The sequence below is a fragment of the Homo sapiens genome, chromosome 2 (assembly GCF_000001405.40).
Source record: "Homo sapiens chromosome 2, GRCh38.p14 Primary Assembly".
Taxonomy (NCBI): domain Eukaryota; kingdom Metazoa; phylum Chordata; class Mammalia; order Primates; family Hominidae; genus Homo; species Homo sapiens.
In genome coordinates, this window is record NC_000002.12 from 95,395,758 (window position 1) to 95,421,656 (window position 25,899).

At 48.0% G+C, this 25,899-nt stretch overlaps 1 protein-coding gene across 17 annotated transcripts, besides 8 other annotated features; it reads left to right on the forward strand.

The window, feature by feature from the left end:
- Positions 1,762–2,261: an enhancer, noted in NCBI's record as "H3K4me1 hESC enhancer chr2:96063267-96063766 (GRCh37/hg19 assembly coordinates)". NCBI's record gives its function as "activates a minimal SCP1, AML or CMV promoter by ChIP-STARR-seq in primed H9 embryonic stem cells {active_cell/tissue: H9 hESC(primed)}" and the evidence as "EXISTENCE:reporter gene assay evidence [ECO:0000049][PMID:30033119]".
- Positions 5,721–6,660: an enhancer, noted in NCBI's record as "H3K27ac-H3K4me1 hESC enhancer chr2:96067226-96068165 (GRCh37/hg19 assembly coordinates)". NCBI's record gives its function as "activates a minimal SCP1, AML or CMV promoter by ChIP-STARR-seq in primed H9 embryonic stem cells {active_cell/tissue: H9 hESC(primed)}" and the evidence as "EXISTENCE:reporter gene assay evidence [ECO:0000049][PMID:30033119]".
- Positions 5,721–6,669: a biological region, named in NCBI's record as "H3K27ac-H3K4me1 hESC enhancer GRCh37_chr2:96067226-96068165".
- Positions 6,590–6,669: an enhancer, noted in NCBI's record as "active region_16185". NCBI's record gives its function as "activates an Ori minimal core promoter by ATAC-STARR-seq in GM12878 lymphoblastoid cells {active_cell/tissue: GM12878}" and the evidence as "EXISTENCE:reporter gene assay evidence [ECO:0000049][PMID:35858748]".
- Positions 6,661–7,599: an enhancer, noted in NCBI's record as "H3K27ac-H3K4me1 hESC enhancer chr2:96068166-96069104 (GRCh37/hg19 assembly coordinates)". NCBI's record gives its function as "activates a minimal SCP1, AML or CMV promoter by ChIP-STARR-seq in primed H9 embryonic stem cells {active_cell/tissue: H9 hESC(primed)}" and the evidence as "EXISTENCE:reporter gene assay evidence [ECO:0000049][PMID:30033119]".
- On the forward strand, positions 6,951–25,899 carry FAHD2A (fumarylacetoacetate hydrolase domain containing 2A). 17 transcript variants are annotated; one of them, XM_011511284.3, is made up of 10 exons: positions 6,951–7,235; positions 9,520–9,645; positions 9,796–10,046; positions 11,184–11,400; positions 14,770–14,829; positions 15,107–15,269; positions 16,677–16,785; positions 16,920–17,007; positions 18,209–18,288; positions 18,525–20,859. In XM_011511284.3, the coding sequence occupies exons 3-10, from the start codon at positions 9,802–9,804 to the stop codon at positions 18,580–18,582; spliced, it is 1,020 nt and encodes a 339-aa protein (XP_011509586.1). In that variant the 5' UTR covers positions 6,951–7,235; positions 9,520–9,645; positions 9,796–9,801; the 3' UTR covers positions 18,583–20,859. The 17 variants fall into 17 exon arrangements, 16 of the variants coding, with proteins under 16 accessions (XP_011509586.1, XP_011509585.1, XP_011509587.1 ...); XM_011511283.3 differs by having other exon boundaries at positions 6,951–7,115; XM_011511285.3 differs by having other exon boundaries at positions 6,951–7,115; positions 9,523–9,645.
- Positions 7,740–7,859: an enhancer, noted in NCBI's record as "active region_16186". NCBI's record gives its function as "activates an Ori minimal core promoter by ATAC-STARR-seq in GM12878 lymphoblastoid cells {active_cell/tissue: GM12878}" and the evidence as "EXISTENCE:reporter gene assay evidence [ECO:0000049][PMID:35858748]".
- Positions 19,551–20,051: an enhancer, noted in NCBI's record as "H3K4me1 hESC enhancer chr2:96081056-96081556 (GRCh37/hg19 assembly coordinates)". NCBI's record gives its function as "activates a minimal SCP1, AML or CMV promoter by ChIP-STARR-seq in naive H9 embryonic stem cells {active_cell/tissue: H9 hESC(naive)}" and the evidence as "EXISTENCE:reporter gene assay evidence [ECO:0000049][PMID:30033119]".
- Positions 20,052–20,552: an enhancer, noted in NCBI's record as "H3K4me1 hESC enhancer chr2:96081557-96082057 (GRCh37/hg19 assembly coordinates)". NCBI's record gives its function as "activates a minimal SCP1, AML or CMV promoter by ChIP-STARR-seq in naive H9 embryonic stem cells {active_cell/tissue: H9 hESC(naive)}" and the evidence as "EXISTENCE:reporter gene assay evidence [ECO:0000049][PMID:30033119]".

Sequence of the window (25,899 nt, forward strand, 5' to 3'; positions counted from 1 at the left end):
TTTTTAAATCACCACAGAGGCCATAGTGGGAGTGCAGCCAGCAGGGTCAAATAGCGTCTTGGCCTGGATGGTGGGAAGTCTATTGGTTCAGATGATGTGGGGAGGTAAAGTTGCCAGGATGTGAAGATGCAAATGGGAATGACGTGGGGAAACGGCAAAGACTGAATTCTGGCTTGGGGTCTGCCCAGGTGGATGGTCAGAGGATGCCATGACATCCTCTGAGATACAGAAGAGGACCACATTTGATGTGGAAAAATCATGAGTTCATGTTGAGCTTGTGGTGCCTTTGAGACATCAAAATGAAAGTGTCCAATAAACAGCTGAGTTTATGGAGATGGACACATGTGAGTCTTCTTTCTGTACGTGGCAACTAAACCATCAAGCCTGTAGTTGATGTTGTGAAAATGTGGCCTGAGGGATCCTACTGAGTGAGAAGAGACATAAGTACCGTGCTTTGAGAGGCAGCAACATTTATAGGTTGGATGGAGGAGAGTGAGTCTGAAAAATGACTGAGATAGAGGAGGAAAATTCAAGACAATGTGATATGATGGAAGACCTATCAATAGAGACTATGTTTGGCTGCAAGTAACAGGGATCCAGAATAATAGTAGCTTTTAAAACCATAGATTTGTTTTTTCTCTCTTGCATAAAAGGCCAACAGAGCATTGTTTGGCATTGGTTTGGCAGCTCAACAATCCTCAGGGATCCAGCTCCTAGCTCCGGTAACCTGTCACCTCAAGGCCAGAGATGGCCCTTCATGCTCCAGCCATCACATTCACATTTCAGCCAGCAGAAAGAAAGAAGGGTGAAGAGTAAGGGACTGCGGATTCTTTTTAAATAATTCCTTTAACTCCCAAACTTTTCTATTTAGATCTTGCTAACCAGACTAACTCTCATGGTCTCATGTAGCCTCAAAGCATGACTGAGAAATGAATCTCTCTATTCTATGCAGCCACATATCTAGCAAATAAATGGTGTTTTACTGCTGAGGAAGAGGGAAAGAAAGAATACTGGAGGGCAACCAGTCACCTCTGCTGGGAAGCCATGGGAAGGCAGTATTTAAAGCACAGGGAAATGGCCCAGAGAGGCCAAGAGTGCTTAGAGGTAATGATAAAAAGTGTCTTTTGAGCCGGGCATGGTGGTGGGTGCCCCTGTAGTCCCAGCTACTTAGGAGGCTGAGGCAGGAGAATCGCTTGAACCCAGAGGCGGAGGTTGCAGTGAGCTGAGATCGCGCCACTGCACTCCAGCCTGGGTGACAGAGCGAGACTCCATCTCAACAACAACAACAACAACAAAAGTGTCTTTTGGTCTTAGCACCATGGAAATCACTGGGGACTTAAGTAAGACTTGTTTCAGTGGAAGGATGGGGGCAAAGGTCAGATCAGGATGAATGAGGAATGAATGGGAGACAAGGAAATCAAAGCGAAGATTCATATGGGAATTAAGCTCCTGTAGGAGACTTTCCAAGGAAGGTTGGTGAGCGATGTGGGAGGGGCAGCTGGAGGGAAGTGGGGCCAAAGAAGAGTTTTGCTTGGTTTTGTTTAAGATAGAGAGATCTGAGCATGGGGGAAGGACGTGCAGAAGAGGCAGAGCCCTGCTCAAGAGGAATACGGGGTAATTCTCAGTGTAAGGCAACCAAGGTGCAGGGGCTCCTGCACAGGACTTGAGGCCTGGAAAGGGGTCGTTCCTCATCAGCGGGGCTAGCACATGGCAGGTGCCGGTGTGGAGGGTCTGAGGGCATGGGAGTAGGAAATGGAGGGCATTCACCCCAAGTGAGGGCTTCTGTTTTCTCTGTTAAACATGCGAGTTACCAACCAGAGCGAGGGTGAGGCAGAGAGAGGAGCAAGCCGCCTGTGGGGCTGGGCGTGCATTGAGGCAGTGACAAAGAATTCATGGCAAAACCAACCCACATCATAAGGGTGGCCATAGAGAAAGCAGGGTTCAAAAGCTTTTATTTCCCCTTTGATTATTCAGCCACATTGTCAATGGAAAAAGTCACAAAATGTAGAAATTTAGCCAGGAGAGCTTTATCTCTTAGAAAGGGTTGCCACCTGCAGGATGGACATCCCACAGGTGGGGAAACGTGGCCTTTAGCAGAAACCAAAAGCAGGCACTTCAGAGGAAAAAGCGGAGAGGCTGAGGTGTATGCCCAAAGACAGGAACTATACATACATATTCAGTAAGTTATGAGACCCTTATGAATATTTATGAGGGGATCCTAACACATGCAACTGAATAATCCTGTGTGTTGCATACAACCCATGTTCACTTTGGGGTGGAAACATAACATTAAATGCCTAAAATTAGGCTCTATAGGTCAAAAGGTAGAAGAACATTAGCCAGGTGCAGTGGTGTGTGCCTGTGGTCCCAGCTACTTGGGAGGCCAAGGTGGGAGGATGGCTTGAGCCCAGGAGGCAGAGGTTGCAGTGAGTCAGCATCATGCCACTGTACTCCAGCCTGGGCAACAGAGCCAGGTCTGCCTTAAAAAAAAAAGAACACAAAGGTACTCAGTGCGCAGCCTCTATAAACTGGCCAGAACCAGCCCATGGTCAGTGGTGTCTTATCAGGAGAAAATTACTGAAGTCAGTCTCTTGTTCAATCAAACCTGTAGTTATGCTTTGTGGAATGGAGTCTGGAGTCTGGGGGCATCAGTTAGCATCTGACAATTGGTAAGTTAGAACATTTATTATTTTAGTGTAGGGGTATGTGACTTTTGCCTGGCATGGCCTTAGTCTTATTTATAATTTCATAATTTATAAGCCACAAAGACTCCATTCCATCAGTCTTATGATCTCTGTTTTACAACCCTGGATTTGTCCAGCTCTCCACCATCTCTTGTCCTAGGTACAAGCAGTTTCTCCAAGGAGGTGTCTACACCCAAACAACCACTGGCCTGTTTCCTGTCACTACACATTCATTTGCATTTCTAGTGTACTGTAGCCCCTTCTTTTTTTTTTTTTTTTTTTTGAGATGGAGTCTCGCTCTGTTGCCCAGGGTGGAGTGCAGTGGCGCAATCTCGGCTCACTGCAAGCTCCACCTCCTGGGTTCACGCCATTCTCCTGCCTCAGCCTCCCAAGTAGCGGGGACCACAGGTGCCCGCCACCACGCTTGGCTAACTTTTTGTATATTTAGTAGAGACAGGGTTTCACCGTGTTAGCCAGGATGGTCTCGATCTCTTGACCTCGTGATCCACCCGCCTTGGCCTCCCAAAGTGCTGGGAATTCAGGTGTGAGCCACCACGCCTGGCCTGTAGTCCCTTCTTATCCATGGTTTTGCTTTCTGAAATTTCAGTTACTCAAGGTCATCCATGGCCCAAAAATATTAACTGGAAAATTGCAGCAATAAGCAATTCATAAGTTTTAAATTGTGTGCTGCTCTGTGTACTGTGATGAAATCCTGCACTGTCCTGCTCCATCCTACCTGGGACAAGAATCATTCCTCTGTTCAGCTTTTCCATGACGTCTGCCCTCCTTGCCCCTTAGTCACCAATGAGCTGGCTCCGTGATTAGATCCACTGTCGTGGTACCGCAGTGCTTCTGTGCAAGGCACCATCATCTGACTTCATAATGGCCCCAGAGCAAAAGGGGAGTGGTGTCGGCATTTCCGATATGCCAAAGAGAAGCCTTCCTTTATGGGAACGCTCCTGACTTAAGGAAATAAAACAAAAATCACATAATGAGGTTGCTAAGAGCTACAGAAAGAACGAATCTTCTATCCATGAAATTGTGAAGAAGGAAAAAGAAATTTGTGCCAGTTTTGCTGTCGCACCTCAAACTGCAAAAGTTATGGCTACAGTGTGTGAGAAGCACTTAGTTAGGATGGAAAAGGCATTAGATTTGTGGGTGGAAGACGTGAACAGAAACATATTCTGATTGAACAGCAACCGTGTAGCACCAGGTTAACTTCATCTGGATTAAATTTGATCACTGGCATGTATATATAGGAAAAGACGTAGCAGATGTAGGGTTTGGTACTATCTGCAGTTTCAGGCGTCCTCTAGGGGTCTTGGAAAGTACCCCCCAAGGATACTCTATACAAATGAAATAATTCCATATGTACTCATTTTTAATCTCTTTTTCACTCTGAATAATTATCTTGATATATATCCATGTTGCATCAACAATTTGTCCCTTTTCATTGCTGGGTAGTATTCCCTAGTGTGGCTATAACAGAGTGTTTACACATTCACCTGTTAATGAAAAATTGAGTTGTTTCCAGTTTGGGGATTTTGTAAAAAGGCTGCTGTGAACATTTCTGTATAAGCCATTGCATAAGCATTTTTTTTAAATTTCTCAGGTAATTACTATAAAACAAAAAAACAAATCTGGATTATATAAGGAGCGAATTTATTCCAAAGGATTGTTGTGGGGGTGACCATTGCAATAGGGAAACGTTGCAGTGCGGCCACTCGCAGGCTTCCCATATGATCTGCAAGTGTCTCAGAGGTTAGGCAAAGGGCTGATCTTGTATAGGGAGGCGTAAACGTGGCTAGAAAGAACTGTTATGGGAAAGTGGGCTGAGCAAGAGTGTCACGATCGAGGAGGTCTTACCCTGCGGACAGCCTGTTCTCAGGAGGGAACCTCAGGAGGGCTGCGGGTTGGCACAAGCTGTGGGTGGGCCAAAGCTCAAGGGCTTGGAAAAGGAGAGAATCTGAACCAAGGTTTGGTTACAGGCTTTTGTTCTTATTGATCTGTGGGACAAGCAGCCCAGCTAATCATTTATGAGGCCAAGAATGGGAATTTAGAGGGTCTGTGTCTGGCCTGGTCACAGATAAACAAGGGAGCATCTGGGAGTCTTATCCAGGTTATATAGAAAGTCACTGGTTCTTTCCAGTAGGGGGTTTTCTGGAACAAAAGAGTGGTGGGATTCCTTAACCTTCACTATTTCTAGAAGCAAAGGGCTAAGGTAAAATTCAATACTGTCAATAGTCAGGATTGAAATGGCTACATCATATGGTAGGTGTATGTTTAATTCTCTTCATACACTGACAAATGGTTTTCGATCGTGGTGGTACTATTTTATAATCCCATCAGCAGTGTACAAGAATCCCAGGTCCTCCACATTCTTGCCAGTACTTGGTATAATCAGTCTTCTTTGTCCATTCTAGTAGGTGTGAGATGGTGTCACATTGCGCTTGCAATTTGCATATCCTTAATGATTAATGATGTTGAGCATCTTTTCATGTCCTAATTTTTTCTTTCTTTTTTTTTTTGAGACAGAGTCTTGCTTTGTCGCCCAGGCTGGAGTGCAGTGGCACGATCTCGGCTCACTGCAAGCTCCACCTCCCGGGTTCCCGCCACTCTTCTGCCTCAGCCTCCCCAGTAGCTAGGACTACAGGCGCCCACCACCACGCTCGGCTAATTTTTTGTATTTTTAGTAGAGATGGGGTTTAACTGTGTTAGCCAGGATGGTCTCGATCTCCTGACCTTGTGATCCGCCTGCCTCGGCCTCCCAAAATGCTGGGATTGCAGGCGTGAGCCACTGCGCCCAGCCTTCATGTCCCAATTTTCTGTCTGTATATCTTATTTGATGAAATGTCAGTTCAAATATTTTGTCCATCTAAAAAATTGAATTGTTTGATTTTATCTACTGACTTTTAAGCATTCTTTCTATATTCTGGATACAAGTCTTTTTATCAAATATAGCCTTTACAGATATTTTCTTCCAGGCTGTAACTTAGCTTTTCAGAAAGTCTTTGGGAGCTATGGCTTAGTGAAACCCTTGTGCCAGGTTCTCCTCAGCGAATCCCCCTGATCACAGCCACCCCCATAGGTTCCATTTCAATATCTGTGGTGACCTTCTGCAAGCTAGGCTGAAGTCCCAAGCTCCAGACCCATGTCTCCAACTGCCCACCGTTCAATGCCCTTTGGATGTCCCATGCAAATCGGAGCTCACCATCCTCTCCCCAGACCCGCTGCTCCTCCAGGAGCCCTGTCTCCATGAACGGCCCTGCACCTACCGAGCTAGAGACCCAGGAGTTGGCCTTGTACCTCCTTCCTTCTCACTTCCACCTCCTGTCATTCAGAGCTGTCAGTTCTTCCTCCTGAACATCTCTGGACACTCACCTTCTCCACCACGCACCGCACCACCATTGTTCTCAACCGCACCACCCACCCAGACACCTTTCCTCAGACGGGTGGCCAGAGAAAAACTTCTCAAATAGAAGTCGGGACATGGCACGCCACTGAGAACCTTCCAGCGGTCTCCTGTGCACGTAAACAAGGTCCAGACTCCTTCGTGGGACAAGTAAAGCTCTTGATGATCTGGTCCTTGAGTAATGTGGGGGCCACTTGTACAGAGCCCCTCACACTGTTCAAAGTCGGCAGCTGAAGAGCTGAGCAGTAGCTGTCTGTGGAGTTCAGCTGCCACTCCCTACACGCCTGCCCTCTGCAGGGGATGGAGTCCCGTTTCCCCACTTCCCCACCTGCGCCCAGCAGTGCAGGTGAAGGCCTGGCTGCGGAGAGTGGCTGGGAAACGCTGCGCTTTGGGGTCAGGAATGCCAGCTCCACTACTCACCGCCTGTGTCACCCTGGGAAAACAGCTCTGGCCCCAGGTTCTCCATAAGTAAAACGGGGGCAGTCATCCCTCCCCTCCTCAACGACATATGTCAGAATCAGAAGCCACAAATCATTCTCTGCCACCCAGCACGCTGCCTTGGTCTCCTAGACCACTTTCCCCAACAATGGGAAAGGCGCCAGGCCCAGAACAAGGCCGAGACCGGATGAGGCCAGCGAAGCGCCCAGGGACAAACCTTCGGGCAGCGCCCACTCTCGAGTTCAGGCAAGTGCAGGGTCCCTCCGAGAGAGAGCGTCTCCAGAGAACGCGGCTGGCGCCTGGCTGAACCCGTAGCCTGAAGACCCGCCGGAGCCGCCCGCCCCACGATGGGCCCGCCCCTCCGGGATTGGCGCCCTGCTAGTGGCCATTGCCTGTGACGTCACAGGATCGCGCCCGCTTTTCTCTCGGGTGATCCGGCCGAGTGGCCCTGGGTTAGCAGCTGCTGCATTTCCCCGGCTGGCTGCGGTCACTGGTGGCAGTGCTCAGGCGCCCGCCGCCCTTGACCTTCGGCCCCGCGAGCTCTAACCCTACAGCGCAGGAAGATCGGCCGCCGCGGCCAGGTAGGACGAGCCTGGCTGGGTCTAGGCCAGAAGGGTGTCCGTGGCGCCGGTCTCCCGCGGAGCGCAGAACTAGTACCGGATCCCCAGCCGCTTCTGACCACACAGACGGGGCGGACCTGTGTGAGCACTCACTAACTGTCGGGGCTGGAGCTGGGCATATGGGGAAACTGGGGGACCGGCACGGGTTCCAGGCGAGTGGACGGTGGGATGGAATCCGACGTGCACACCCATGTCTCAGGCTTTGTTTGATGGAGGCTACTGTTTCCACCTCATGTCGCCGCCCCTTTGCTTATGGACTCTTGCAGAGTTGGATTGAGCTCGGGCTGTGTGATATAGTGGTTGTTGCAGAAGCCCCAGGGCCACTTTCTGACTAGTACCTTGGGCACCTGACATCATCCCTTTGAGTCTCAGTGTCCTCTTCTTTAAAGTGAGGGCGCTCTACCTGAGGAGATTGCTGTAAGGTTGGAATGAACCTGCATGTGTGTGTCATGTGGGAAGGGAACAGTCAGTGGGGCCTGGGGTTCTCTTGGAGAGCTGGTAACCAGCCTCGTCCCTGAGGCAACAGCCAGAGGGCGCCTGTAGTTTCCCCACGCATGTCTGTTAGCAGTTACGGCCTCTGGAGGATCTCCTGTGGGAGGTCCCTACTTCTCACTACAATCTTTAGAGACTTTGGAGGATTTCCTATGGAAGGTCCCCACTTCTCACCACAACATTCTGGGTTAAAATGGCCTTGGTAGGGGGATGGGGGCTGAAGCTGGATTTTTTTGCTTGCATTACAAGCTTCTGAACCAAGGACTTCATGTCACCTGGACTTGGATTCACATCCCAGCTCCTTCCTCTCCTAGCTCTAGGACTGTGTAACCTTGGGCAAATCTCTTAACCTCTTTAAGCCTTAATTGTTTCATCTGTAAAATGAGGCTAACAGTACCTACCTTCCACAATTGTCGAGAATTAAATCAGACATTGTAGGTAGAGCACTTAATAGTTGGCATTCAGCGGCAGCAGTTACTGTTATGTTAGCATGTGGAGTGTCTGAGTGTGTGCACATTGGCTCGAACAGCCTTTTGACAGTGGCACAGTTGGTGCTTGTGTAAGACAGCAGGGCAGAGAAGTCAAAGCCCTCGGTTTTCTAGTCAAACTGGTGGGCCACAACAGTGGTGACCTAAGTCTAATGAATCTTCAACTGAACAAGGCAGATTGAATCTCCAGGTGAGGACCAAGAGTCTGGGGATCAGCTGCCTCCACATTTTTGGGCATAGAAGGCTGTACAATACCGCCTTTGTTGTAAGAGCAAGGAACCATTCAGGGAAGGCACCATGTGGTAAGGAATAGAGGCCAGACGTGGATTAAGAACAAAACAAGAGAATAGTGTTTGTCTTTAAGTGGAGCCTTGGACTCAAAACAGGATCTGAGCCCTGAGGATTTTTTTTTTTTTAATTGAGATGGAGTCTTCGTCTGTCACCCAGGCTGGAGTGCAGTGGCGCGATCTCAGCTCACTGCAACCTCCTTCCCCTGGGTTCAAGCGATTCTCGTGTCTCAGCCTCCCTAGTAGCTGGGATTACAGGTGGCTGCCACCACACTCGGCGAGTTTTTTGTATTTTTAGTGGAAACGGGGTTTCACCACGTTGGCCAGGCTGGTCTTGAACTCCTGACCTCAAGTGATCCACCCACCTCGGCCTCCCAAATTGTTAGGGATATCACGCATGAGCCACTACAACTGGCCCTTGTGGGAAGGCACAGCCATGTCTCCTGAAGTTAACAAGCACTAAGCTTTCCCAAGTAGTGAAATGTCAAGCCCCTGCTTCTGTCACTTATTTGTTCATTCAGCAGAAAGTCACTGAGAGCCTTCTGTGCACCAGGCACAGTGCTGGGCAGTGAAAGAGACAGACATGTGCCCTGGACCCAGGGAGATGACAAGTGATGGCTGTCAGGCCCAGACCCTGTTGTTTGTCTGCAGCCTCTTCCCTCAGGCAACTTGTTCTCTATCAGGAGAAACGAAATAATTATTATCTGGAGAGGCAGGTGGGGGCGCTGCTCCTAGAAGACTGGGACAGCCTGGTAGAGGTTCTAGCTTGATCATGTGAGCAGTGGAAACCATTTTAAGTAGGAGGTTAACAGGACCAAAATAGCATTTAAAAAATTGTTTATGGCCACTGTGAAGCCAGTTTCACCAGCGTCACTTGCCCATGCTGGGCTGCCACCCAGCTAATTCCTGGTCCTGCTCATTTAGCCCAGCTCAGCTCACATCACTTCCTCCAGAAACTAGAGAAGGGTAGAGCCCCTGACCATCTTCACAGCATTAGTCCTGATAGCTGAATCTTACGTCAGTTGTTAACATCTGTGACCTGTGCAGGGAGAATGGCAGGGCTGAGTTTCACCTACATTGTTTCCCCAATACCTACAGCAGAGCCAAGCACAGTGGGAACTTTCAGAAAGCACTGGTTGAAGGAACGCTGGAATCCCTGGGACTTACTGCGTAGCATGTAGTAGTTGCTCCTCTAGAAAAGTTTCACCTTATGAAGTATAGCAGGTAAAATACAAGCCTGGACCACTTCCCGTGTGGTATGCAGGGAACGGTTGATGGGGCAAAGGGCCTCGGGCTATAGCCCTAGGAATTTCAGGGAACCTGATGATGGCTCTGGGATCCTCTGTCTCCTGGATCCTGCATTTTTCTCTGCAGGCTCTGATGCTGGTGTCTGGTAGAAGAAGGTTACTCACAGTTCTGCTGCAGGCTCAGAAGTGGCCCTTTCAACCCTCCAGAGACATGAGACTAGTGCAGTTCCGGGCACCCCACCTGGTGGGGCCTCACTTGGGCCTGGAGACAGGGAATGGTGGAGGGGTTATCAACCTCAATGCCTTTGACCCCACACTCCCGAAGACGATGACGCAGTTCCTAGAGCAGGGAGAGGCCACCCTCTCAGTGGCAAGAAGGTAAGTAAGTGGGCAGCATCGCCCTGAAGCAGCTGCCCTGGTCCCCCTGCACCCTCCCCGCTCTGGGAAACAGCACCAGCAGGTAGCTCTTTTGCAAGGGAGCAGAGTAACCCCACCTTTCCTTTTCTCCCGTTCTCTTAAAAGATCCTTAGAAATCTTACATAATAACATCTTCAGTTTTCAGAGGAGAAAACTGAGAGCTAGGGGAGGTGATTAACAATTTGAAGGCCATACATGTGGTGCTGGAACCAGGACTCTATACTTCATCACACTGCCTCCTCTGGGAATGAAGTCCTGGACTGACTGACGGGTCTGGGCCCGGGGGTCCTAAAAGGCATCTTATGCAGCTGGGGGAGTGATATAGACTCCCAGCTCCTACAAGGAGAGAGGACTGCAAGGAGGTTTTCTATAAGACACTTGGTTCCTGGGTTTGGACTAGATTAGGTGAGAGTGTCCCTGAAGCCTGGACCCCTATAGAATCTGGTCTAAGGAGCTGATGAACAATAAATTAAAAATACTTTAAGATGTCATTTTCATCTATTAAAATGGAAAAAAATACAAATGTTTCACAGCTCACAGTATTAACAGTATGTTCCCATATTGCCATATTCTGCAAAGACTGGAAATCTCCATGCCCCTCATTAGGGACTTGGGTATATCTCTATAGAGCAGTAATATGCAGCCACAAGAAATAAAGAGGACACTCTCTATGTATTGTTACATATTGTTAAGCAGAGATCTCCAAAATCAGTTGTTTTTTTAAAAGATGTAAATAGTATGCTATCATTTGCATACAAAAGGGTGGGAGAAGAATATCCATAGAGTAGCTGCGAAGAGCCAGGGGAACGGGGTAACCGGAAGGGGAAAGGGAAACCTTTCCATGTATTCCAGTTTGTATCTTTTACATGGACATGAGTTACCTAAGGGGGAGAGGAAATCAACACTGGATAAATAAAAGCCCTGCTCTGATAGCAAAGGACAATAGTCAGTGATTTTCACACTGACTCTGATGGTTGATAGAGCTAGGAAATAGATTTCAAAAAGCAAAACCTGTAGCTGCTGCAGGATCTGCCCAGCCTGCCCGGGATTGCCCACCTGTTCCCAGCCAGACCCTCTCACCTGCTCTGGTCTCTACAGAGCCCTGGCTGCCCAGTTGCCAGTCCTACCACGGTCGGAGGTAACCTTCCTGGCTCCAGTCACACGACCAGATAAGGTGGTGTGTGTGGGCATGAATTATGTGGACCACTGCAAAGAACAGAACGTGCCCGTGCCCAAGGAGCCCATCATCTTCAGCAAGTTTGCCAGCTCCATCGTGGGGCCCTATGATGAGGTGGTCCTCCCACCACAGAGCCAGGTCAGTGTCTCCCCACTGCCCTCCCTAGTCACTGGGCCCATCACAAGGGCATTCTGAGCTCAGTATTGAGCCTACTGGAGCCACCTCTCGCTCAATAGCGCATTCAGCAGAAACTCTACAGGATTGTACACACAGTAGTAACACTGGCCTTGGAAAAAAAAAGTTAATGTACGTGTTTTCCTGGTTACAAAAGCAATGCACCTTCACTGTAGATAATAAAATAGAGATAAACATTAAAAAATTATGTCACCCATAATCCCACTGCCCATGGCTCGGAATATTAATGTTTTTCTGTCTACCTTCCCAGTGTTTCTCCGCTCCTGTATATGTTTATACTGTACATATACTTACCTTTTACTTAAGACTCCATCAGGAGCATTTTTTCATGCCATTAAGTATTCGCCCTGACACCACGGAGTTTGTTATGTAGATTAGTTTATTCCTGAGTACCTTACTGCTGGATACTGTTTCTAGTTTTTGGCTTCTATAAATAAATGTTGCAGTAAACATCCTTATGTGGAAAAGGCTTTGCATGTCCATTAATACATTATTATTTCCTTTGAATAAACCCTTTGGAATTTAAATATGTCAGCGTATAGGCAGTATTTCAAAATTTTTGAAAAATTCTGCCAATTGGCCTTTTAAAAAATTGTAAAAGCAACTTACACATCCACCAGTAGTGTATATACCCTTTCTAACACTGGTTACTTTTTCTCTCAGATTTTTATTTTAGAAATGTCTTGAAAATTATAGAAAAGCTGGGAAAATAATACAGTGAACACTCAGATAACTTTTCCACCTGGTTTCATTGTAAACATTTGGCCATATATCCTTTTTCTCCCTTGTCTTCTCCCTGCCCTCCACATGGCAAACACACATTTTTTTTTTTTTTTTTTTTTTTTGCAGGGTATGGGGTGGAGGGGACCTTTTAAAACACATTGGAAATATTAAGACAATTTAGTCATAAAAACGTAAATAGGCATCTTCTAAGAATAAGGACAATGGCTTGCATGACCATCCCACCATTATCACAACCAAAAAAATTAACTTGAATAATATTTAATATGAAATCCAATTGCCCCAATTCCCAATCGGAAGTACTGCTGACTTCCCCAAAGATAACTTCTAATTTGGTTACTTCGTTTGTTGCTCCATGATCAACCAAGGCCACACACTGTATTCAGTTATATCTCTTTAGTGGTTTCAATCTAGGACAGGGTTCCATAGACTTTTTCTTAAAGGGCTGTATTAGTCTGTTTTCATGCTGCTGATAAAGACATATCCGAGACTGAGCAATTTACAAAAAAAAGAGGTTTAATTGGACTTACAGTTCCACGTGGCTAGGGAAGCCTCACAATCATGGCAGAAGGCAAGGAGGAGCAAGTCACATCTTAGGTGGATAGCAGCAGGCAGAAAAGAGCTTGTGCAGAGAAACTCCCATTTTTAAAACTATCAGATCTCATGAGACCCATTCACTATCATGAGAACAGCACGGGAAAGACCTGCCCCCATGATTCAGTCATCTCCCACCGGGTCCGTCCCATAGCACGTTAGAATTATGGGAGCTACAAGTTGAGATTTGGGTGGGGACACAGAGCTAAACCATATCAAGGGCCAATTAGTAAATATTAGGCTTTGCGTGTCATATGTTCTGTTTTGCAACAATTCAACTCTGCTGTTATAGTGTGAAAACCACGATACAGAAATGAATGATGGGTTTCCAATCAAAGTTGATTATAGCAGATGTTGAGCTGGCCATAGTTTGCCAACTCCTGCTCTCAAACAATACCCCCTGCCCTTTCCTTGAAGAATCCAGTTGTCTCATAGCATGTTTCACATTCTGGGTTTGTCTGGTTGTTTCTTCATGATTAGTGTCAGGGTAAGCATTTTTATCAAGAGATCTACAAAGCAGATGTTATACATTTTCCATCGTATCCCACTGGGAGGCTCATGTCAGTGGTCCCAGAATTTGACCACTTGGTTTAGCTGACATTCACTAGGTCCCTCCATTGTGAAGATGCATTTCTATTTTTGTAATAAGCAATCCATGGGTGGTAGTTTGAGATCACATAACTATCTTATTGCCCCATAGCATCTCATCCAGGGATCCTGTGGTCATCCTGACTGAATCTATTATTGCACTGGGGGTTAGAGAACAATGACCTTTTTTTTTTTTGAGACAGAGTCTCACTCTATTGTGCAGATGGAGTGCAGTGGCATAATTTCAGCACACCTCTGCCTCCTGGGTTCAAGTGATTCTCCTGCCTCAGCCTCCTGAGTAGCTGGGATTATAGGCGTGTACCACCACACCTGGCTAATTTTTGTATGTTTAGTAGAGACGGGGTTTCATCATGTTGGCTAGGCTGGTCTTGAACTCCTCACCTGAGGTGATCCACCTGACTTGGCCTCCCACAGTGCTGGGATTACAGACGTGACCCACCACTCCCAGACAAGATCAATGACTTCTCAATCATGCCTTCTGTTTTTATTGGCTGGCATTCTTCTATGAAGAAAAGCTGCCTCCCTCCTTTTTATTCCTGTCTTCAATATCACTGTGAATTCTGTTTTTACTCAATTGTTTGTAATTCATCATTTACATTCTTTAGGTGACCTCAGTTTGGCCAGTGAGGGGCCTTCAAGTTGGCTCCATTCCCGTCACTTTTAGTATATCCTAGCTTTCTGGCCAAGATGTTCTAGGCTTATCATGTACTGTCTGTCTTGGAACTGGAATTGGCCGTTTCCCCAAGGAACCCAGTGCTCCTTAGTGGGGAGTGGTATTAGAGACCAACATCTGGATGTCGGGTGTACTTACACCAACTCTGGTTATTATTAGAAAGAGCCACCAATTTTAAAGGCCAAATTATATCTATTTTATAGTGTATTTTATGGATTATGGGAGAGGCTGAGCATTTCTTCATGTTTTGTGGCCATGTCCGTTACCTTTTTGTGAATTGCTTACTCAAGTCCTTTGTGGGAGTTAATAGATTAAAACACTTAGAACAGTGCCTGACACACAGTAGGGTTACATATTGCTAGGGGATATTACTTCGTATTTATCCTTTGTTAAAAGTATCCAGAGTGACTTTTAAACTCAGTGCCCTGGACACGTGTTGCTCTTCTGCAGTCAGTGGTGTGGGGACCTGTGCCTGCATCCCATGATGCTGTCTGCCACTGCCCAAAATGTATGGGTCTACAAGTCACACCTCCCTTGTCATTCACTGGGCTCTGGTTCGTGGTGATGGCAAACATGGGATGGCAGCGAAGCCATACTGACAAAGGTTGAGGCCCTTCAGCATGGTGTGCAGCCTCTCAGCATGGACAGTGGGCCCTGAAGCCACTGCAGCTCACTGTTCCTCTCCCACCCTACAGGAGGTAGATTGGGAAGTGGAGCTGGCCGTGGTCATTGGAAAGAAAGGCAAGCACATCAAGGTGAGGTGGAAAGGGTGGGCTCCCAGTCCAGAGTGCAGCAGAGGCCCCAGCTCCTGCCTCTCCTAGTTCTGACCCCACTCACCAACACACGGTGCCAGCTGTCCCTGACACTAGGAAGCAGTCAGCCTCCTTGCTCCCTGACACTGCCTTTCCCTTCACCCACCTTTGGCTGGCTCTGGCTACTAACATGGGATAACAGCTTAGAGATCCCTTGCCATAGGTGTTGGTGTCACCCATGATCTAACCTCCTGTATGGCCAAATCCCCTGCCCCCATAGGCCACAGATGCTATGGCCCACGTGGCCGGCTTCACTGTGGCTCATGACGTGAGTGCTCGTGACTGGCAAATGAGACGTAATGGGAAACAATGGCTGCTGGGAAAAACCTTCGACACCTTCTGCCCTCTGGGCCCTGCCTTGGTGACCAAGGACAGTGTAGCAGGTAGGTCCCTGGTCCCTGCCCCCTTATACCTACCATTGCACAGATGAACAGCGCTTCAGGGAGGAGCATGGGTTCAGGTACATGTGGCACCTGCCCTCCCTGGCCGCCCTTTCACTGCTGACTCCATACAGGGCAAGTCTCTTATCCTCAGCCACGAGTTCTCCCATGGGCTTCCTTCCCAAGCCCCCTAGAGGGAACACAACTGCAGAGGATGTGAAACTGCATGCGTGAAGTAAATTACAAAGAACACTGAGCTGATGGGTGGATCGGGCTTCCTGCGGCTGCCACCTCTGAAACAATCTAAGTTGAGCATCATGGAGCATAGTTATCCCAAGGCCAAGGCATTTTCCACACTACAGGAGATGAAAGCCAGTGTGACTCACCCAGCCACTGTGGAAATAGAACAGCACTGACCACACACAGTCAGGATACAGCGCCAGGATGGGGGCAGTGCCCCAGAGGGCAGAGCGCAGCCTCTTACACAGCCACCCACAACTGTGGTGGAGGTGGGGGGTGTCCACATGGGCCAGCCATGCCAGGATACCAAAGACCCCAGTGCCTCAGCACCCCATGCAGAGTCCTCAGCAAAGTTAAATTGTGTTTCAGCTGCTCTACTTAAGGGGGGTAGAACACTAGGACCACCACCAACAGTAAAAAGTGCTGGTTAGCCAGGATGTTCTTACAGTAATCCATCCCCTGCCAGCATCCAGTACACGAGGCTTCTCTGTCCCGGCTAGAACCATTGCCTCACTGCTTTATAGATGCTGAGTCTTTTTTTTGCCATGGTCTTACTGTGTCACCCAGGCTGGAGTGCAGTGGCCCAATCCCAGCTCACTGAAGCCTCAACCTCCTGAGTTCAAGCAGTTCTCCCGCCTCAGCCTCCTGAGTAGCTGGGACTACAGGCACGCACCACCACGCCTGACTAATGTTTTTATTATTTTTTGTAGAGACAAGCACTCACTAAGTTACCCAGGCTGATTTTGAACTCCTGAGCTTAATCAGTTCTCGCCTGCCTTGGCCTCCCAAAGTGCTATGATTACAGACATGAGCCACCACGCTTGGCCCTGCTGAGTCAATCTACAGGTGTCATCCTATGCTGTAGACAGATGCCCTTATTTTTTTCAAGGCAAAAACCCTAGCCATTTTTCTCTTCCCCTTCAGAGTCTGAAACATCCTCTCAACCCATCCCTGTTACTACTGCTTGGTGCTCTTGGTGGGGATGCGGGGAGGCCTGAGAAGGCCAATGTCTATACAGAAAGTTCTAACATAGAGCACTGAGTCAATGTGGGCACTTTGAAGCCCTTTCACCTGCCAAGTCACGAAGCACCCCTACAGTTGTGTTTGTAAAATATTGGGGGGTTTGAGGGGGAAAAGGGATAACTCCAAGGTACCATCTTTGCATTTCAGATCCACACAACTTAAAGATCTGCTGCCGAGTGAATGGGGAAGTGGTCCAGAGCGGCAACACCAACCAGATGGTATTCAAGACAGAGGACCTGATAGCCTGGGTCTCCCAGTGAGTGACAGGGGCTGTCCTGCCAGCCCCGCTTCACCTGCCACACATGTGGAGGCTGACCTGAGCCCTCCATCTTTGGCTGTGGCCACCTCAGCCAGCCCCTGGTCTCACCGGGTCCTTCTGCTTTGATCCAGGTTTGTTACCTTTTACCCAGGGGATGTCATCCTAACTGGGACCCCCCCAGGTGTCGGTGTATTCAGGAAACCTCCTGTCTTTCTCAAGGTAGGTTAGCGAAAAGCAAAGAGCAAGGGCCCCAAAGGCCTGGCAGGCTTGCCTCAGACTTGAGAAGTACAGGCTTGTGTATGTGTGTCTGACGGAAGGGCTGACACTGTCATGGCCTGCTCTGTTGCAGAAGGGGGATGAAGTCCAGTGTGAGATTGAAGAACTAGGTGTCATCATCAACAAGGTGGTGTGATGGCTCCTGCACAGGCCCTGCACATAGGATGAGGGCATCTGCTCCCACTCAGCCTAGCCCAGGGAAAGGCCCAGTGACAGGTGTGGACAGGTGCCAGCCCTGCAAGCCGCCTCTTCTCGGTAGAAGGGAGAAGGACAGAGCTCTCTTCAATAAATTCGTCAGGTCAAAGCAGCAGCTTTGCTTCTGCTGTTTGTCTTCTTTTGGGCTTTGTTTCATGGGACAAGTTGGGGCATTTTGTGGGACTGGGGAAGAAGAGAGCAAATACACACACATATGCCAAAAAGATGCTGCTGGGCTGGGGAAAAGACAATTCGTGTCGTCCCCTTGTTTATCACATCAAAGAAGGGAAAAAGCAAGAGATGGCAAGGGACAATCAAGCCTCAATGATTATATTTATAGCTAAGGGTTTGCAGCCTCCTCTCCATCTTCTGGCTCTAGGACACAGCTGTGTTCTGGGGCTCAGAAGTCTCAGCACAGGCTCCTTCTCACAGTTCTAGCTACAAGTGAACTGCCGGATGAACTGTTCTAGTTTTTCCTGATTGTCCAGGCTGGCAAAAGTAGGGGACAGGTGGAGCCTGGGGCCTGCAGGGCTCGGCGTCTGCTGCAGAACCTGGGCCATGGAAGATGGGCCGTGAGTGCACTCACCACAGGGACTGTGTCCACATGGCCCAGGGGCCAGGCCTGTCCCCCAGAAACCTGCCTTGAGACCTCTGACCCCTTAGGCCTCAGTGTTTGAGTGCAAATGCTGCCTCAAAGCAGCCCCAATACCCCACCTAGAAGGATGAGCCAGTGATTTGGGAGACCAAGAGGCAGGAAACCATCCCACCTTCTCCAACCCATCACCACGTCTATTGCTGGAAGACACCAAGTAAATCCCAGGGTCTTAATGAGGCACCATCAGGCCAGCCCTGTGGGGTGATGGGAACATAGCTGGGTTTCCCTGAGCCACTCTATTGGGGTGGGAGCAGGGGGACAGAAGATGGTGACACTGGCTCCTCTCACCCCTAGGTCTCTGAAGGTCCAGATAGCACTGATGGCAAGCTTTGGGTCTGCACACTCTGGAAAGAAGAGAGAAGTGAAGGCTCTAGGTAGGGAGGACAGGGAGACACTGGGCACAGGCTTCTCTCCTCTTGTTTAAAGAAGCCCAGGGAGGGATAGATCTCCGACTGGACAGAAGACTACTCTGCAGCCCGCCTTCCTAGAGTTGGGTTGTCACTGTCCGGCAGGGGGCAGCAGCCACCAGCAAACACCACTGCCTGCAGGAGCCTGGGCTGACTGGTTGGGACTCACCAAAGATCCCTTCTTCCTGGGCGGTGGCCTGCAGGAACTGGAACAGCTGTTGGAGAGGAGAAGAAAAAGAAGACATCAAAAAGAAAATCTAGTGCTGGGTGGATATAGAGTATGAAGATGTGGAGCTGGGAAAACAGAGGATGTGGTGGGATGGGGAAGGAAAGGTTGTGGAAGGCCTGCACCCCGTCTCAGTTCCTCCACTGCTTCGTCCCAGATTCTGTTTTTGTTTTCCTGAATCAGACTTAGTCTCCCTCCATTCTCCCGTCCCCTGTGTGCCCCCATCCTGGTCCTGCCTCACTGGACAGCCTCTCCGCGGCCTTCCTCCTCCCTGCTCCAGAATTCTACTTGGTGCCCCCCAACCCCACTCGACTCATTGTCCACCTGGCCTCTGAGGCCAGGCACCCTCATTCCCCTCTCCCACCCACCCCACCCAAGGAAGCCCAGCACAGACCATCTCATCTCACTCCACCATCACTTCTTTGCCAAATGCATTTCCAAACACCCTCATGAGCTTTGCTGATCTCTTTGCCATCTCTCCCTGCCCCACTCCGATGGCTCCTCCTGCCTGGTGAAGACTGCCCTGGGTATCCCAGAACTGAACCTGCAGCAGCCAGCACAGCTGACCTTGGGGCGATAAGCAGCCAGGGAAAGGCTTTCTTAAAAAAAAACAAAAAACAAAACCAATAACTCAGTAAGCAGATTAAACAAAGGTAGAGACGGAGCCCTCCACCCCTCTCACACACTCATCCTCACACCCAGCTATACCACACCCCACAAATGTTGCTTATGTTTCCTTGGTCATTCTGTCCATCCTCCTGTCTGTCCAAAGCCAAGGACACTGCTCTACTCTAAATTTTTTGTCCCGAAGCCCCCAAATACTGCAACCCTGACCCAATGCACGAAGCCACCCCAAAATACAGCAGAGGACACCAGGACTTTCATTTTCCCTCAGTATGGCCCATCCTTTGGGTATGCCAACTCCATGTCCACCAAGCACTGCATGTAGGACAGGGCACAGTTTGGAGGCCTTGGTCCAGCCACTGCCCCAGACCCACCTTGGCTCTCTCCTCACTAACACCCGAGAAGCCCAGACTTCCCAGTGTTTAGCAACAGATTAAACTCTAAGCCAACAACAACAGAACAGGGTGGAGTGAGTGGAAAGCAAATGAAATGTTAAAAAAAAAAAAAAAGCAATACTTGCATTCTCATTAGTAGGAACATGTGAGATGAAGCATGTTATGTTATTAGGCATTCTCTTGATTCGGTAAACACAAGCTGAATAAATTTATAAATATCAGCATTAAGCGAGATTTAACGGGGAGCTGTTTATCTTCTGCCTGTCAGGCAGGCGGCAACACTCTCCATGTATCACTCGCCAGCCGTGCAGTCCTCACTCTCTTGCCCAGGTAAGCTGGGGAAGAGCCTGCTGCCGCCCAGCTCTGGTTGTGGAAGGGCTGGCACCAAGGAGCTGCGAGCTTACCTCAACTCATCTCACCTCACCATGCCGGCTGCGAGGCGGCCCGTGCAGTCCGTGCGCAGGAGGTCACACTCCCATGCTGCATCCCAGCCCCTCCAGAAGCAGAGCATGACCTGGGTGACTTTGAGGATGCTATTTAACCTCTCTAAGCTAAAGCTCCTCGACTGCAGCATCAACAGATCAGTGCCGACCTGTTAAGGCCGTCGAGAGCATCAAATGCTACTGTTCAGCAGGTGCCTGACACATAGTAGGTCCACAAGCAAATGATTTTCCTGCTTGCATCATTTCTAGCACAGAGCTGGAGGAAATGGCGAGGTGCAGGTGGCCGCTGGGCCCTGCTGTTCTACATGGGAGCAAGACAGCTGCTAGGTGAAGGGGAATGACCAGGCAGCCACAGGGAGGACATGTGGCCTCAGGAAGCCTGGGTGTGTATCCTGGTTCTGCTAGGAACACGTGTGGGGCTTTGTGTGGGTGACTCTCTGGCTCCCCAAGCCTCCCTTTCCTACTGTTATATCCTTAAAGTGCCTCTGAGGCCAAAGCCTTTGTGGCAATTGTCAAATGAGTCCATATGCAGTGAGTACCGTGTTGAGGGAGGACAAGGTCACCAAGAGCTGAGAATGTTTCTCCGACTGATGAGACCTAGATATTGGGTACATGGAGGTCCCCGGTCCCTTTGTGATTCCTGCAGCCTGTTGCCTCCTTGCCTGGACCCCGCCTCAGCTCAGAAAGCCAATTCCCTAGATTCCAAAGGCCTTCCCAGACCAATTAGCATGTCCTGCAGCTGTCAGCTCCCTGTGCCTAGCCTGGACCTCAGCTCATGTCTAGCACCCAGTCTCCCAACCCCACACATATTCACAAATAAAAGAAAATAACAAATGACATGAATTCTTCACTCCTGGTCTGGCTTGCTGTGTGTAAACTGCTATGACAATACAAGACGCAGAGGCGGGTACCCAATAAAAGCTGTTGAAAATGTGACTGACACCGAGTTTCAGCTATCCAGGAAGGCACGGATCCTTACAAGGTCCAAGCAGAGTCCTCGAGAATAGTTGAGAATTCTTGGGTTCCATATGAACTAGGAGATACCCACACAAAGGCTTGGATTTCCCAATACATAACTACCCCTGAACACTCCTTCTTTCCCTCGTCTCTCTGCTGAGACCTCTAGACCCTAAGGATCCACCCAGGACAACCTCTCCAAAGGTACCCTGATATGCTTTTCTTCCAGGCAGCATTTCCACAGAGCTGTGGGTGAAAGTCACAGGATGAAAATGTGCCATGGGACTGTATCTCCCACCAACACACTGCAGGCAAGGGGCACACAGAGTGCCCCCTCTGCCCATCCCAGGAATGGCCATCTAAGAATGATGCAATCTTTTCTAAAAAGAAAGTAAATAAAGGCAGGTGCCATATAAGAAGACCTTGGGGGACTATAGGGATGTTCCTTAATGTCTCAGAACATCTGCCTCCATCAATGAAATGAAGGATTCAAAGCAGCTCATCCCTGAGTTGACCTTAATGCTGAATCCTAAACATCACCCTTAGGATGCTATCTGGCTAGGCAGGGAATGAAGGATCTGGGAGCTGAGTTGCAGGAAGCTGCAGCAGCTTCCCATTTACAGATCCTCTAGTGCCAGTTTTTCAGGCTTCCTGACTAAGAGAAGCAGCCAGGCAAATTCCACCATTCAGCTACATTTACAGGAAGCTGGCTATTTGGGAGGCTCTCTACCAGAGGCTTTGGGAAAAAAAATGCAGAATTAATGTAAAGATCACATATTTACCTATGAGAGAAAAGATATCCAAGGATGCCCTTCGGCCTCATTTGATCTAAAACTAGGCCTGGAGCTACCTAATTGTCAAGTCAGTTCAGGCTTCTATAACAAAAATACTATAGACTGGGTGGCTTAAACAACAAACGTCTATTTCACATGCTGCTGAAGGGAACAACCATGGTCAGGAGCATGATGAGGGCCCTCTTCCTGGCTTGGAGGTGGCCATCTTCTTGCTGTGTCATCACATGGCAGAGAGAGAGACAGAGAAAGAATGAGAATGAGAGGAAGCAAGCAGTTTCATATTTTATCTTATAAGGGCACTAATCCCATCATGAGGGCTCCATCCCCATGACCCAATAGCCTCCCAAAGGCCCCATCTCCAAATACCACCCCACTGGTAGTTAGGGTTTCAACATACATTTGGGAGTATACAAATATGCAGTCCACAAAACAAATACCCCTAAGTTGTCTGCATATGTATGCTTGTTCTGGTGCTGCTTTGAGTATCTCAGACGATAGAATCGAGTGTAGATCAAACTTCTCTAGGCCTCAATAGGGTGAATCTAAAGATTGGGTCACAATAATGGCAATAAGCCACAATTCACTGGATTAATCTCACCTACTCCTTCAGGGGCCTATCCACATTCAAAGTACCACAAGTACCTGTAGAAGTCTCTGAGCAGTATCACAAAGACTGACATAGATACAGGCAAAATAGAAAATGGATAGATGGTAGTATGGGGTTGGGGGTGGTTGTGTGTGTGTGTGTGTGTGTAAGGAAAGAGGATGTCTTGTACTTGGGATACATGGGGATATATTGTTTTTGAGGCTGTTTGGTGGCAATACTTGCCCTGAGCTCAGGAAACAGGCCAGAGAGATATATCTGTTCCCTACTTAGAAGAGAGCACTGATGCATGAAGGTTGGGAGGAGGCCAGAGAATAGTGTATTGAAAGAAGAGAATGTGACCAAGGCCCCAACATTAAAAATGAACCTTGAATTGGAGATGGGGAATGAAGAAAAAGTCAGAGAAGAGGGCATACGTGGAGTAATCTGAAAGACAGGAAGAGCCACAGGTGTGCACAGTAACCGGGATGTGAGGTTAGTAGAGAGCTTCAGGAAGGAGGGAAAAGGCATTCATGACAAACACTGCAGGACACTCACAAAGATGGGGAATGAGTAAAAGCCATCGAGCTTGGCATTGATGACCTTCATGGGAACCATACAAGGAGAAACCTGTGGAATGAAACCTAACTACACAAAGCCAAGGAATTAGCAGTAAGGACATTAAGGCGGTCTTATGGGTTAAATCATACACACCAAAAATATGTCAAAATTCTCATCCCAGTACCTAGAAATAGAATCTTATTTGAAAATAAAGTCTTTGCAGGTGTAATCAAGTTAAGATGAGGTCATTAGGATTGGTCCTTAAGCCAGTATGACTTGTGTCCTTGTAAGAGAGAGAAAGATGCCAAGTGAAGACACAGACATACAGAGAGAAGACAGAAGATGGAGATGGAGGCTGAAGTGATGCAGCCACAAGTCAAGGAACTCCTGGGTTACCAAAAGCTGGAATAGACAAAGAAGTATCCTCCCCTAGAGCCTTCAGAGGGAGCAAGGCCCTGCTACATCTTGATTTTGTAAGCCAGGTCTCCAAGATTGCAAGAGAATGAATTCCTGTTGTCTGAAGCAACCCAATTTGTGGGACTTAGTTATGGCACCCCTAGAAAACTAATAGAGGCAGTAAGGGCACTTTTATAAGAAATGTGTTCATGAAGAGATGGAGTTAAATGCTTTTAATAAAGAGAATGTTTGCTTTTCATGGACATACTTGAGAATGTTTACAGACTAAGAGGAAAGAATCTAGAGACAGAGAGAGAGAGAAGTTGAAGATTCAAAACAATGGAAGGATGGTTAATAAAATATGGAGGAGGAAGAAAAAGATTAAAAGGAGAACTCAAGTGGCATAATTGGCCTAAAAAGGTGAGGGACACTTTGTCATCCTGGGTGAGGTGTCTTGGCCTAGATCCTATAGAAAGTAGAGCCTGAGGCAAGGATTGAAGTGCTGACATTTTATGTGGGGGAAGGGTGCAAGTTCAGGACAATGAAAGTGAGGAATAAATGGAAGCAGATGGAAGGCCCTGTGATGAAACGCATTGCTATCCTAGTGGCAACTTCACACCAAGCTGCAAAGATGCTGTATTAGTCAGAGTTCTCCAGAGAAACAGAATTAATACAACGTAGAGATAGAGATATATACATAGATATAGAGATAGATCTCTCACATACAGACCTATATATCTATACATGGAGAGAGAGAGAGAGGAACAGAGTGGGGGCAGGGGCACAGAGAGAGACACATTGAGAGACAGATTTATTATAAGGAGTTAGTTCATGTGATTATGGAGCTGAGAATTCCCAAGATCTGCCATCTGCAAGCTGGAGAACCGGGAAAGCCAGCAATACAGTTCTACAGTCCAAGCCCAAAGGCCTGACCACTAGGAATTCCAATGCTGTAAGTTCCAGTTCAAAGGTAGAAGACTGATGTCCCAGCTCAAGCAGTTAGACAGAGGGCAAATTCACTTTTCCTCTGCCTTTTTGTTCTATTCAGGCCCTCAATTGATTGGAACTTCTACATTAGGGAGGGCAATCTACTTTATTCAGTCAGCTGATTCAAATGCATATCTCATCCAGAAACACACCCACAGAAACACCTGAGAAATAATGTTTAGCCAGACACCTGGGCACCCCATGGTCTAATCAAGTTGATACATAAAATTAACCATCACAGACATACAGCAGGTCACTCATGAGACATGCTTGCTTGACATGCTGGGCTTCTCTGTAGGATTTGCAAGGAGAAATCATACCTTAAAGTATTTGCAGGAAGGAGGAGGAGGATTTATCTGACCATCTTCCTCCAGTCTCCCATTTCCCACCAATCAAGATTTACCCAACAGTGAGCAAATCCCCCTGGGCTTCTGGATTGCATCATCCAGTCCCCATTCACCACAACACCAAATCCCATGGTGTGATCCAGCCTGGAAAAGGAGGGAAAACTCAGAATTGTCTGGGCACCTAACGAGAGAAAATAGAGGCAGTTGAGGAAATCCAAGAAAGCACACAAAGTTTGTGTCCAAAATTAAGAGAGAGATAAAAAAAGAAAAACAGGTAAGTGAAAATATAGAGACATTTTTAAAATAAAAAGAAGTTGAGGAAACTGACTTTGAGTGGTAGGTGATGTTCAGAGAGATCTCAAGTAAACTATGGGAAAGGAAGGAATGGGGAACATGGCTATGACCCCATAACCTTAAGGACCTGCAATATGTTTTTAAAAAGTAAAAGAAGCCTTGTTATTACTGCAATACTATAGAATCCTAGAAATTCAGAACAGACATTACACAACACTTTCCTTAACCTTTTCACTTTAAAGATGAGACAACAAAGGCCGGGAGAGAATTAATGGTAACTAACTTTCATAAATGTACAATGTTTGTTGTGAATGAACCTCTGTGTGTGTGTGTGTGTGTGTGTGTGTGTGTGTGTGTGTGTGTCCCCAGGATGTCATCTACACATTTCTCCACCTGGTGGCTCCTGCCTGAATGACAGGCAGAGTCCAGCCAGTGGAAAGAAGCAGCAGAGGACACTGTCTTGGAATCCCAGAAGAAAATCTTAAGAGCTGAGACCTGAGGCCTCCTTCACAGACCCAGGCCAGCTTCTCATGGACTAGCCTTGGTCCTCAGAGACTCAGAATGTTTGCTGCCCCTCTCTCCAGTTCTGTGATCCCTCCTCTGTAGCTCCCTTTTCATACAAGAAAATACCAACCAGGGGGAAAGCAACGAACAAAAGGTATAATGTTTGACCAGTGGTCGTGGACGCTAATTCTTTGAAGACTTCCAAGATGGTAAATGGAAAGAACAACCCACATGCATGCACATACATATACATATACAAAATGCAAAGACTAAGACCCAATTAGCCTCTCTCTCTGTTTCTTTTACAGGAAGGGAAGTATCACCGGCCTGAACTACTACTCCCCATCCCCTGCAACTGCCATTCTTTCTGACTTGTCTCTAGAAAAGGCCATGTGACCTCTCCCTCAGGCTGACGCATTGTCCCAGCCAGAATGTCCAGCCAAAGCAGAATAAAGCATCTACTGGAC

Excerpts from the sequence above, each read along its gene's own strand:
- FAHD2A (XM_011511284.3), top strand. The coding sequence starts at position 9,802 with ATGCTGGTGTCTGGTAGAAGAAGGTTACTCACAGTTCTGCTGCAGGCT. Across the intron at positions 10,047-11,183 it reads ACCCTCTCAGTGGCAAGAAG|AGCCCTGGCTGCCCAGTTGC; the intron begins GTAAGTAAGTGG and ends TGGTCTCTACAG. Across the intron at positions 17,008-18,208 it reads AACCTCCTGTCTTTCTCAAG|GTCTCTGAAGGTCCAGATAG; the intron begins GTAGGTTAGCGA and ends TCTCACCCCTAG.